Here is a 12912-nt window from a genome sequence, read left to right as displayed (position 1 = left end):
TCTCCACATCTTCTCCAGCACCTGTTGTTTCCTGACTTTTTAATGATCGCCATTCTAACTGGTGTGAGATGGTATCTCATTGTGGTTTTGATTTGCATTTCTCTGATGGCCAGTGATGATGAGCATTTTTTCACGTGTCTGTTGGCTGAATAAATGTCTTCTTTTGAGAAGTGTCTGTTCTTGTCCTTTGCCCACTTTTTGATGGGGTTGTTTGTTTTTTTCTTGTAAATTTATTTGAGTTCACTGTAGATTCTGGATATTAGCCCTTTGTCAGATGAGTAGGTTGTGAAAATTTTCTCCCATTTTGTAGGTTGCCTGTTCACTCTGATGGTAGTTTGTTTTGCTGTGCAGAAGCTCTTGAGTTTAATTAGATCCCATTTGTCAATTTTGTCTTTTGTTGCCATTGCTTTTGGTGTTTTAGACATGAAGTCCTTGCCCATGCCTATGTCCTGAATGGTAATGCCTAGGTTTTCTTCTAGGGTTTTTATGGTTTTAGGTCTAACGTTTAAGTCTTTAATCCATCTTGAATTGATTTTTGTATAAGGTGTAAGGAAGGGATCCAGTTTCAGCTTTCTACAAATGGGTAGCCAGTTTTCCCAGCACCATTTATTAAACAGGGAATCCTTTCCCCATTGCTTGTTTTTCTCAGGTTTGTCAAAGATCAGATAGTTGTAGATATGCGGCGTTATTTCTGAGGGCTCTGTTCTGTTCCATTGATCTATATCTCTGTTTTGGTACCAGTACCATGCTGTTTTGGTTACTGTAGCCTTGTAGTATAGTTTGAAGTCAGGTAGTGTGATGCCTCCAGCTTTGTTCTTTTGGCTTAGGATTGCCTTGGCGATGTGGGCTCTTTTTTGGTTCCATATGAACTTTAAAGTAGTTTTTTCCAATTCTGTGAAGAAAGGCATTGGTAGCTTGATGGGGATGGCATTGAATCTGTAAATTACCTTGGGCAGTATGGCCATTTTCACGATATTGATTTTCCTACCCATGAGCGTGGAATGTTCTTCCATTTGTTTGTATCCTCTTTTATTTCCTTGAGCAGTGGTTTGTAGTTCTCCTTGAAGAGGTCCTTCACATCCCTTGTAAGTTGGATTCCTAGGTATTTTATTCTCTTTGAAGCAATTGTGAATGGGAGTTCACTCATGATTTGGGTCTCTGTTTGTCTGTTGTTGGTGTATAAGAATGCTTGTGATTTTTGTACATTGATTTTGTATCCTGAGACTTTGCTGAAGTTGCTTATCAGCTTAAGGAGATTTTGGGCTGAGACAATGGGGTTTCTAGATATACAATCATGTCGTCTGCAAACAGGGACAATTTGACTTCCTCTTTTCCTAATTGAATACCCTTTATTTCCTTCTCCTGCCTAATTGCCCTGGCCAGAACTTCCAACACTATGTTGAATAGGAGTGGTAAGAGAGGGCATCCCTGTCTTGTGCCAGTTTTCAAAGGCAATGCTTCTGGTTTTTGCCCATTCAGTATGATATTGGCTGTGGGTTTGTCATAGATAGCTCTTATTATTTTGAAATACGTCCCATCAATACCTAATTTATTGAGAGTTTTTAGCATGAAGGGTTGTTGAATTTTGTCAAAGGCTTTTTCTGCATCTATTGAGATAATCATGTGGTTTTTGTCTTTGGTTCTGTTTATATGCTGGATTACATTTATTGATTTGCATATATTGAACCAGCCTTGCATCCCAGGGATGAAGCCCACTTGATCATGGTGGATAAGCTTTTTGATGTGCTGCTGGATTCGTTTTGCCAGTATTTTATTGAGGATTTTTGCATCAATGTTCATCAAGGATATTGGTCTAAAATTCTCTTTTTTGGTTGTGTCTCTGCCAGGCTTTGGTATCAGAATGATGCTGGCCTCATAAAATGAGTTAGGGAGGATTCCCTCTTTTTCTATTGATTGGAATAGTTTCAGTAGGAATGGTACCAGTTCCTCCTTGTACCTCTTGTAGAATTCGGCTGTGAATACATCTGGTCCTGGACTCTTTTTGGTTGGTAAGCTGTTGATTATTGCCACAATTTCAGATCCTGTTGTTGGTCTATTCAGAGATTCAGTTTCTTCCTGGTTTAGTCTTGGGAGAGTGTATGTGTCGAGGAATTTATCCATTTCTTCTAGATTTTCTAGTTTATTTGCATAGAGGTGTTTGTAGTATTCTCTGATGGTAGTTTGTATTTCTGTGGGATCGGTGGTGATATCCCCCTTATCATTTTTTATTGCATCTATTTGATTCTTCTCTTTTTCTTTATTAGTCATGCTAGTGGTCTATCAATTTTGTTGATCCTTTCAAAAAACCAGCTCCTGGATTCATTAATTTTTTGAAGGGTTTTTTATGTCTTTATTTCCTTCCGTTCTGCTCTGATTTTAGTTATTTCTTGCCTTCTGCTAGCTTTTGAGTGTGTTTGCTCTTGCTTTTCTAGTTCTTTTAATTGTGATGTTAGGGTGTCAATTTTGGATCTTTCCTGCTTTCTCTTGTGGGCATTTAGTGCTATAAATTTCCCTCTACACACTGCTTTGAATGTGTCCCAGAGATTCTGGTATGTTGTGTCTTTGTTCTCGTTGGTTTCAAAGAACATCTTTATTTCTGCCTTCATTTCTTATGTACCCAGTAGTCATTCAGGAGCAGGTTGTTCAGTTTCCATGTAGTTGAGCGGTTTTGAGTGAGATTCTTAATCCTGAGTTCTAGTTTGATTGCACTGTGGTCTGAGAGATAGTTTGTTATAATTTCTGTTCTTTTACATTTGCTGAGGAGAGCTTTACTTCCAAGTATGTGGTCAATTTTGGAATAGGTGTGGTGTGGTGCTGAAAAAAATGTATATTCTGTTGATTTGGGGTGGAGAGTTCTGTAGATGTCTATTAGGTCCGCTTGGTGCAGAGCTGAGTTCAATTCCTGGGTATCCTTGTTGACTTTGTCTCATTGATCTGTCTAATGTTGACAGTGGGGTGTTAAAGTCTCCCATTTTTAATGTGTGGGAGTCTAAGTCTCTTTGTAGGTCACTCAGGACTTGCTTTATGAATCTGGGTGCTCCTGTATTGGGTGCATATATATTTAGGATAGTTAGCTCTTCTTGTTGAATTGATCCCTTTACCATTATGTAATGGCCTTCTTTGTCTGTTTTGATCTTTGTTGGTTTAAAGTCTGTTTTATCAGAGACTAGGATTGCAACCCCTGCCTTTTTTTGTTTTCCATTTGCTTGGTAGATCTTCCTCCATCCCTTTATTTTGAGCCTATGTGTGTCTCTGCACGTGAGATGGGTTTCCTGAATACAGCACACTGATGGGTCTTGATTCTTTATCCAATTTGCCAGTCTGTGTCTTTTAATTGGAGCATTTAGTCCATTTACATTTAAAGTTAATATTGTTATGTGTGAATTTGATCCTGTCATTATGATGTTAGCTGGTTATTTTGCTCGTTAGTTGATGCAGTTTCTTCCTAGTCTTGATGGTCTTTACATTTTGGCATGATTTTGCAGCGGCTGGTACTGGTTGTTCCTTTCCATGTTTAGCGCTTCCTTCAGGAGCTCTTGTAAGGCCGGCCTGGTGGTGACAAAATCTCTCAGCATTTGCTTGTCTATAAAGTATTTTATTTCTCCTTCACTTATGAAGCTTAGTTTGGCTGGATATGAAATTCTGGGTTGAAAATTCTTTTCTTTAAGAATGTTGAATATTGGCCCTCACTCTCTTCTGGTTTGTAGGGTTTCTGCCGAGAGATCCGCTGTTAGTCTGATGGGCTTCCCTTTGAGGGTAACCCGACCTTTCTCTCTGGCTGCCCTTAACATTTTTTCCTTCATTTCAACTTTGGTGAATCTGACAATTATGTGTCTTGGAGTTGCTCTTCTCAAGGAGTATCTTTGTGGCGTTCTCTGTATTTCCTGAATCTGAACGTTGGCCTGCCTTGCTAGATTGGGGAAGTTCTCCTGGATAATATCCTGCAGAGTGTTTTCCAACTTGGTTCCATTCTCCCCATCACTTTCAGGTACACCAATCAGACGTAGATTTGGTCTTTTCACATAGTCCCATATTTCTTGGAGGCTTTGCTCATTTCTTTTTATTCTTTTTTCTCTAAACTTCCCTTCTCACGTCATTTCATTCATTTCATCTTCCATTGCTGATACCCTTTCTTCCAGTTGATCGCATCGGCTCCTGAGGCTTCTGCATTCTTCACGTAGTTCTCGAGCCTTGGTTTTCAGCTCCATCAGCTCCTTTAAGCACTTCTCTGTATTGGTTATTCTAGTTATACATTCTTCTAAATTTTTTTCAAAGTTTTCAACTTCTTTGCCTTTGGTTTGAATGTCCTCCCGTAGCTCAGAGTAATTTGATCGTCTGAAGCCTTCTTCTCTCAGCTCGTCAAAGTCATTCTCCATCCAGCTTTGTTCCGTTGCTGGTGAGGAACTGTGTTCCTTTGGAGGAGGAGAGGCCCTCTGCTTTTTAGAGTTTCCAGTTTTTCTGTTCTGTTTTTTCCCCATCTTTGTGGTTTTATCTACTTTTGGTCTTTGATGATGGTGATGTACAGATGGGTTTTTGGTGTGGGTGTCCTTTCTGTTTGTAAGTTTTCCTTCTAACAGACAGGACCCTCAGCTGCAGGTCTGTTGGAATACCCTGCCATGTGAGGTGTCAGTGTGCTCCTGCTGGAGGGTGCCTCCCAGTTAGGCTGCTCAGAGGTCAGGGGTCAGGGACCCACTTGAGGAGGCAGTCTGCTGGTTCTCAGATCTCCAGCTGCGTGCTGGGAGAACCACTGCTCTCTTCAAAGCTGTCAGACAGGGACATTTAAGTCTGCAGAGGTTACTGCTGTCTTTTTGTTTGTCTGTGCCCTGCCCCCAGAGGTGGAGCCTACAGAGGCAGGCAGGCCTCCTTGAGCTGTGGTGGGCTCCACCCAGTTCGAGCTTCCCGGCTGCTTTGTTTACCTAATCAAGCCTGGGCTATGGTGGGCGCCCCTCCCCCAGCCTCGCTGCTGCCTTGCAGTTTGATCTCAGACTGCCGTGCTAGCAATCAGCGAGACTCCGTGGGGCGTAGGACCCTCCGAGCCAGGTGCGGGATATACTCTCGTGGTGCGCCGTTTTTTAAGCCCCTAGGAAAAGCGCAGTATTCGGGTGGGAGTGACCCGATTTTTCAGGTGCCGTCCGTCACCCCTTTCTTTGACTCGGAAAGGGAACTCCCTGACCCCTTGCGCTTCCCCAGTGAGGCAATGCCTCACCCTGCTTCGGCTGGTGCACGGTGCGCGCACCCACTGACCTGCGCCCACTGTCTGGCACTCCCTAGTGAGATGAACCTGGTACCTCAGTTGGAAATGCAGAAATCACCCGTCTTCTGCGTCGCTCACGCTGGGAGCTGTAGACCAGAGCCGTTCCTATTCGGCCGTCTTGGGTCCTCCCTCAACTAACGGGCTTCTTGTTACAGATCAGAACTTCAGATGATTTAAAGAAGGATAGGAAGGTAGGACGGAGGTTTTGGAATGAGGTCTTAACAAATACTTAACTTTTGTGAGAATTGTATGTGCTTTCACTTGCTTTTGATCAGACTTGAATTAACCAAAAAGGAACTTGTGGTTTGCTTTGTTATTAACATTATGTGGAACTCATGTTAATGTGCATGGCCAACTTTCTTAAGGTAATTATCAGTCATGTAATCATTAAGTGACAGACACTATTTCCTACCTTTATCATTCTCAGTATTTCAGTCATAAGTAAATGAAACCCCTCATTTTTCGTGTTCTGGCACTATTCTTAAAACATATACAAAGGCCATTGGGATTAAAGTATAAGACTTTTTCTATCTTTTTCCTTTAAGATGATCTTCCTCAGTGCTTTGTTTTTCTTTCCTTTTTGTTCACTTCCCCCTAGGATCTATTGTCAGTCTTTTTTTCTGCTGATGTTTAATGAAGGCTTTCAACTCAGTTCAAACAAGTGTTGAAGTCAGATCTTAGGTAAAAGAATGTGAGAAACGCCCATTTTACCATCTGAAGAGAGGGTAAGAAGGGTGGTATGTGGTATGTTAGAGGGGCAGAAGGAGATGGACATGGAGGGGGTGAGTAGCCTGAGACCTGTGAGTTATGTAATGTCTGTATAAAGAAAAATTTCTGCTCAGAAGAATTCCAAGTAGTTGAAAACAGGACCGAACGTAAATAAATGAGATGAAATTCAATGTGTAATTATAAAAAGTAAGAACTCCTTATGCTTTCGTCAGACTGTCCAAATAACTTATTGCATATTTTTAGAAGCACATTCCCTATGGTGCATGGCAATGTAAAGAATTCAGAATCAGGTCTAACCCTATACCTAATTTATGAGTAAGTTTTATTTGGAAGTTAGAATATTGGCATATACTTATATTGTACATTATAGTTTCTGAGTGCCTTTTTATGCATTTCATTTTTAGATGCTCGAAACAATGTAGAGACATAAGCAGATAAGGTGATGGTATTTCCATTTTGTATATTATTTAAATGTCCCTTTACTGCACTGTATGTGACCAGGAGGTCACATTAATATTAAAGCTCCCGTGCACAGGCTGGTAGCTTCCACTTGCATGACTGTGAAACTTCTGCTGTCCTCCAACACTCCCCAGGTTTTTTTTTTTTTTTTTGAGATCCTTCAGGGTATATCCCCACCAGGCACTGTGGGACCACACTGGCTGCCAAACCCTCTGTAGGAATGTAGTTCCTGGACACAGCTGTCTTGCTCTGATGGTGCTGTTGCTTTGCGCTCAGAATGCTCAAGTTTCACATGCAGCCTTGGTTTAGGAGAATGAAGTGGGGAAGAGAAAAAAAAGGGTGAAGAGTTGGGTAATTCTCCTATATATGATTCCTTCTTCCTTTAAACTAGTGTTTTTAACTATACACATATAGATATTTGTACAATCAAAGGTAACAGTGGTGCAAACTTTATTCTATTAGAGTTTGTGAAGAAGGCTGAAAACCATTACTTTGATGAATGTGTGATCACTGAAAGATTCTGGGTCTCAATAGAGATTAGGGGCACCTCAAAAACTATATTAGGTAGAAGTGTTCTTTTTGGTTCAAGTTTCCTTATTATGCTTTTTCTAGTTTCTGAAAGAAAACTTCTGAGGTTTGAAAAAATTAAAAAGTCCCATTCTTGCATAAGTGAATTCTGGACAGAAGGAGAAGTCCCTTGTCAACCACAAGTGTGCAGATGGCTGGAGCCACAGGAGGCCCTGGGATGCCATTATTCTATACTGAGGTCATTAGACTATAAGCTGCATAAAGCAAGCCATCTCTTTCCCTTTTTTGGTAGCATTCACATTGAAAGAAGCAACAAAGTAGCATATAAAATAATTGAAAAGAAATTCAAATCTTTACTACTTTTTCTTATCAAAATAGGCCCTTTTTTGGTAGCATTCACATTGAAAGAAGCAACAAAGTAGCATGTAAAATAACCGAAAAGAAATTCAAATCTTTACCACTTTTTCTTATCAAAATAGGCCTTTTTGGTGGCATTCACATTGAAAGAAGCAACAAAGTAGCATCAAAAATAATTGAAAAGAAATTCAAATCTTTACCACTTTTTCTTATCAAATAGGCAAAGGGGAATAATTGCATAATACTCAGTAAGGCTTTCTTAAATATTTTTTCCTTATTCTCTCATTTTTACAATCTTCTATATGTAGCAGCTGCCTAATTTCTTCCTCTCATTCCATGCTCTATTTCTAAGCTCTCAGAAAGCTTTTTCTCTAAACTGAGTCATACGAGCTTCCTGTATTTGTTCCCTTTCTTCACTGGCTCAGAGTTTTATTAAACAGTTCTGCCTAGCCTTAGGGAGCTGTTTCAGTTTTGGGCTCCCCTGGAACTTTGAGCCTGCACAATGGAAGAAGACCTGGGAATTTATCAAACAAACAAGAATCTGTTATTTTAGTGGGTGGTGTGTGTGTAAGTAGTGGGAATCTAGAAGAATGCAAACATGTAACTCAGTACCTTTTCTTTTATTCCTGGAACAAGAAAAACCATGTCTATGAAGATAATGCATATATTTAGTGGATGAAGCATGAAAATAGTTGTTTATTAGGTCACATATTTTTAAAAGAGGTTTGGAGAAATTAAAACATCTTAATTCCAAGGATATCATATATTCCTTAAGCAATGAGAAAAATACCTTTGGAATTGTAAATTCAATAAGTGATAAGTTTTCTTATTTCAGGTAGGTTGCTAGAAAGAAAGGAGCCAAATTTGCAGCCACCACAGTGATGTATAGCGACCTTACTTTGTCTTTACCTTTATTTTTTTTTAACCAACTTTAAATTTATGCTAATTTGTGTTTTATGTATCCTTATAAAACACTTTATATCCTTTCTGGCACAAGGTGATATATACATATATAAGTAATGATAAGGAGCAAAACAGTAATGTTTCTCACGCTAGTGTAGATTTATCTTAATGCTATACAATCTAATGGTGTAAATGGTAAGGAATCTGTTAGTGACCCTTAGTATAAGAGCATTAACCTTGGCTTAGAAAATAAATCAAGAAAGCTGGTTTGATATTAAGTGGAACATAATTTCCTCAGTAGTCTGAAGGAAAAAGTTAAAAAGCAACTACAGATTATTTTTACTTCTCTGTTACCTACATCAAAGATTCTAGTAAACGTCACTGTTTAATGTTAGAAGTGGGTTATTTTCACCTTATTCATCATATACAATGTTTTGCATGCAGCTGCCATATAATAGAAACTCAATATTATATCTACTGACTCATTCTATATTTAAATTTATTGTTAACTAATCATTGAACTCCAAGATATGCCTAGCATAGCTCTAGTTAGGTTAGTGAGGTAAAGTGGACTGTAAACACCTTAAAAATCAAGGACCACATTCTAGTTGTGATTCTGAGTCTACACTACATTTTAAGTTGGTCTTTGGTACTACATAAATGGTAAGTTAGTACTTGTTGTGAGACTACATTATGTAGTGGTGAGAATCTTAATATGCAGCTAGGCAAATGAGTTCAAGTCCCAACTCCACTACTTACTGGTATATTCTAATCTTTCTGAGCTTTAGTTTCCTCAGCTGTAAGATGGGTATGGCAATACTTTCTTACCACGACTGTTGTGAAGATTAAATAGCATTACGCATGTAATGCCTTGTTCACGGTGCTTGCCACGGGGTAGGTACCATGGCTTTTTCATCTTCCTGTTGAATAAATGAATAAATAGATGAATGAGAACATTATACTTCCTGTTTAGAAATTTATTTTAAACAAATCACCTAGTACATTAACAATTAATTGTTCTTAATTTTTAATGAGAATTTATTAATAGAGATTATATAATATGTATAATATGTAACATTAAAACTAAGCAATGAATACAGTTCCAAGACTTACATTAAGTCATGCCTTTGATAAACACTGCATTAACAACTTATGGAGTGATGTAGTTTGGATGTTTTGCCCCTTCAAAATCCTGTGTTGAAATGTGACCTCCAATGTTGGAGGTGGGCCTAGTGGTAGGGTTTGGGTCTTGGGGACTGATCACTCATGAATGGCTTGATACAGTCTTTGTGATAATGAATGAATTCTTACTGTATGAGTTCACATGAAATCTGACTGTTTAAGAAAGCCTGGCACCCCCTCCTCTCTCTTGTTCCCGCTTTCATCATGAGATATGCTGGCTCCCCCTTTACCTTCTGCTATGAGTAAAAGCTTCCTGGGCCTCACCAGAAGCCCTGCAGAATGAGCCAAATAAACCATGAGTCAAATAAACCTCTTTTCTTTATAAATCACCCAGCCTCAGGTTATTTCCTTTATAACAATGCAAATGGACCAACACAGGGAGGCATATACACATACATGTATAAATGTATGTATAGTAAGAAACAGATGGGTCCACTTATAGCAGATGATGAGAGCCATGTTGTCAAGAAGATCATAACAATTAATGAAACCTTAATTTTAGTAGTTCCTACAAATACATATTATATTTTTCTAATATAATTTCTATCACATGAACCTTTGTTAGTTGATTTTTAGTTGATTTTTATTTTAATTCTGCTTATTTTATACATGTATTTATCCTACACTGTTTTAAAGTTTTTTGAAAATTGATAGGATAAATTATAAATTGATAAAAATGAATACAATTTTGTTAAAATTTTTGTTTAGTGTGCCATGTGAATGCTGTGCCTTAGCAGGGCTTAGTGCTTTGGGTTCTGTACTGGTAGGCATCCTTTGCTTATGGAAATTATTGCACTGTTCTTAGTAGACATTTCAAGAATTCAGTAGATAAAACATCCTGGAAAACTTGAGAGACTTGGATTGCTGACAGAAACCTCCATTTCTTAACTATGTTTAGTTAAAAATAATTAAAAAGTTAGAATGAAAGAAACTAACATTGAATTCTCATAAACTGTTAGTCAAACAGCTTCTGTGGAAAAAAATCTTTTTGATTATCTATTTTTCATTGAACATGGTTTAAGTAAACTGATATAATTTTAAGTATTAGTCACCAAAGAACTTCCAATGTACATGTAAGTAAAATGAATATGCTCAGAGCTGGATAGTGATATTGTTTCAGTTGATCACACTGGACTGGAAAAAAAAAGAAAGAAAACAAGGCAGCAGGGCAATGATTGATAGACAGGGCTTCACCTGTCAGAAAGGGCTGGAGGTGCTATTTCTGAGTGAGCGTTTTCAATTCTAGAAAGAACTTAATGCCTGAGTTCCTCCTTTGAAAGTGCCTATATAGAAATGGAGTATCTGGAGACTGTATGTATGTTGTATATGTAATTTCCATGGGCAGAGAGTACACAGATAACAGGAACTTCTTTGAAGTTAAAATGTACTATTTTTTATATGAAAGAGGGTCAGGGGAGGGTGGTGGTATGAGGAGAGGGTGGTACATTTAGCTCAAGCTTTGTGTCAGATCTTCCAGTTAACCTCCTTAAATTTTTATTGGAAATAATTACAGTGCACGAAGGAAGGGAAACACATCTGAATAGATCATTAAACTTCTTTTTTTTCATTTTCAGAAGGCTGTGGAGCAGAGCATGTAGTTCTTGATATGAAACACAAAATAGAGTCTTTTGGATTAGAATATGTGGGACAGTAACACATACTGGAAAGATGTTAAGAAGATTGAATTTATAGAGAATGTTTTTACCACTAAATTGCTTTGTGGCCTTAGGAAAGTCTGGGTTTTAGTCTCCTTACACGTAGTTTCATTTTGAAACCTAAAAGTTATATGAAAGTCTTTAATTTTATTATGCAGATGTTTCCCCTTGACTTTTCAGTGTTTTTATGGCTAGCAAATGGGAATATTGATTTGTGTACTTAAAATACTTTAATGATCTTCAGTTCATATCTGTAGACTATTCTGAAACAAGGAAGGGAATTGTTTCATAAAATGGTGAGCTCTTGGTTCAAGGAGATACTCAATCAGCAGAGAGACAGTCATCAGGACTGTGGTAATGGAGCTTGAGTTCAGGGCAATAGATTTGTTATATGGTACCTGAAGCCCTTGAGGTTTTAGGATTCTAATTCTTGGTATTATATTTCTCTTAGTGCTCTCTGCTAACCTATTTTAGTCACTAAAAAGTACAAAGTGAAATAGAAAAATGAAGACTAAAGTAACTTCTTAAAGATTTCCTTCCAAGATTGCAAATAAGGAATTTGCTCCATTTATAGTAGTTGCTCTCTCCCTTACTCAAATCATATCAGTTCTGTAAGACCAGTCTCTGGCCTCCACTTCTTCATGAAACCCTTCTTTTGTATTCCTACTGTTTTCGTCTTCCCTATTTGCCCTTAGTACTCATTAACAAATGTGGAAGCATCTGTGCATATAGAATATGTACCATTCATTTAGACAGTTGAGTATATCAAACTTTCTCTTAGTTGTAAAAGATATTGATCCTTTAGTCTTTCATAAGTACAGGTCATGCCACATACTGTTTCCTCCCTATTACCTATGATATTTTAGGTACTAACTCAATGCATATTTGTTGAATTAACTTTTATACACAACCCATGAAAGGAGCCACCTATGCACCTATGCCTCTTGGAAGATTACAGTTAATCTCCAGGAATATTCTTTTATTTATTGAATAATCTTTCATGAAAAGGTTTTACTTGAATTTTCATTCCCATTTCACTGGTTATAGTATGTTCTCTTTTTTCAGAATTTCTAAGTGGAATGAAAAATTTCATGTTGCTCACATCGTACCTTAGATTTTCTTAGACTTTAGAACTTTATCTGATCCATTTTGAATGAAAATATAATCTTTCAAAAATTAGTTTCTAAGACCTCTCAGATTCCTCTTATTTCTTCTTCAGCAAAATACAAAAGAACATTGCCTTACATAGAAATTAGATTAGTTTGATAACAGGCATAATGCCCCTACTGTAAGTGTTCTGTTTGCTCTCCAGACTAATTCTTTTTTTTTTTTTTTTTTTTTTTGAGACGGAGTCTCACTCTGTCGCCCAGGCTGGAGTGCAGTGGCGGGATCTCGGCTCACTGCAAGCTCCGCCTCCCGGGTTCACACCATTCTCCTGCCTCAGCCTCCCAAGTAGCTGGGACTACAGGCGCCCGCCACTACGCCCGGCTAATTTTTTGTATTTTTAGTAGAGACGGGGTTTCACCGTTTTAGCCGGGATGCTCTCGATCTCCTGACCTCGTGATCCGCCCGCCTCGGCCTCCCAAAGTGCTGGGATTACAGGCGTGAGCCACCGCGCCCGGCCTCTCCAGACTAATTCTATGCTCTACTCATGGTTTAGGATTTTCACCTCATTGTACTCTAAAGTCTTGGATTTCCTATTCTAGATCAGATGGCTTGTATTAAGTGTGGACCTGTCACCTATTGATCCTATTTAAAAAATTACCAAGAGCCTTTAAAGTATAAACTTGTTTGCTTTACCTTTGGGAAAAGCAATGTGATGTTCATATTCGCATGATACTTTCT

General features: G+C 38.3%; 1 protein-coding gene across 8 annotated transcripts in view; it reads left to right on the top strand.

The window, feature by feature from the left end:
* CTNNA3 (catenin alpha 3) overlaps nucleotides 1–12912 on the top strand; it is a 1851072-nt gene that overhangs the window by 371164 nt on the left and 1466996 nt on the right. Inside the window, exon 1 of one of the 8 annotated variants that reach the window (XM_017016155.3) lies at nucleotides 5287–5445. The exons of the other annotated variants lie outside the window; for them this stretch is intronic. The gene's annotated coding sequence lies outside the window, so the exon portion shown is untranslated. Of the gene's footprint in view, nucleotides 1–5286; nucleotides 5446–12912 lie in introns of those variants that run through there. 8 annotated transcript variants of the gene reach the window in all.

Source organism: Homo sapiens, chromosome 10, assembly GCF_000001405.40.
Source record: "Homo sapiens chromosome 10, GRCh38.p14 Primary Assembly".
Taxonomy (NCBI): domain Eukaryota; kingdom Metazoa; phylum Chordata; class Mammalia; order Primates; family Hominidae; genus Homo; species Homo sapiens.
The sequence above is the reverse complement of the archived record's forward strand: the minus strand, read 5'-3'. Positions and strand labels throughout refer to the sequence as shown.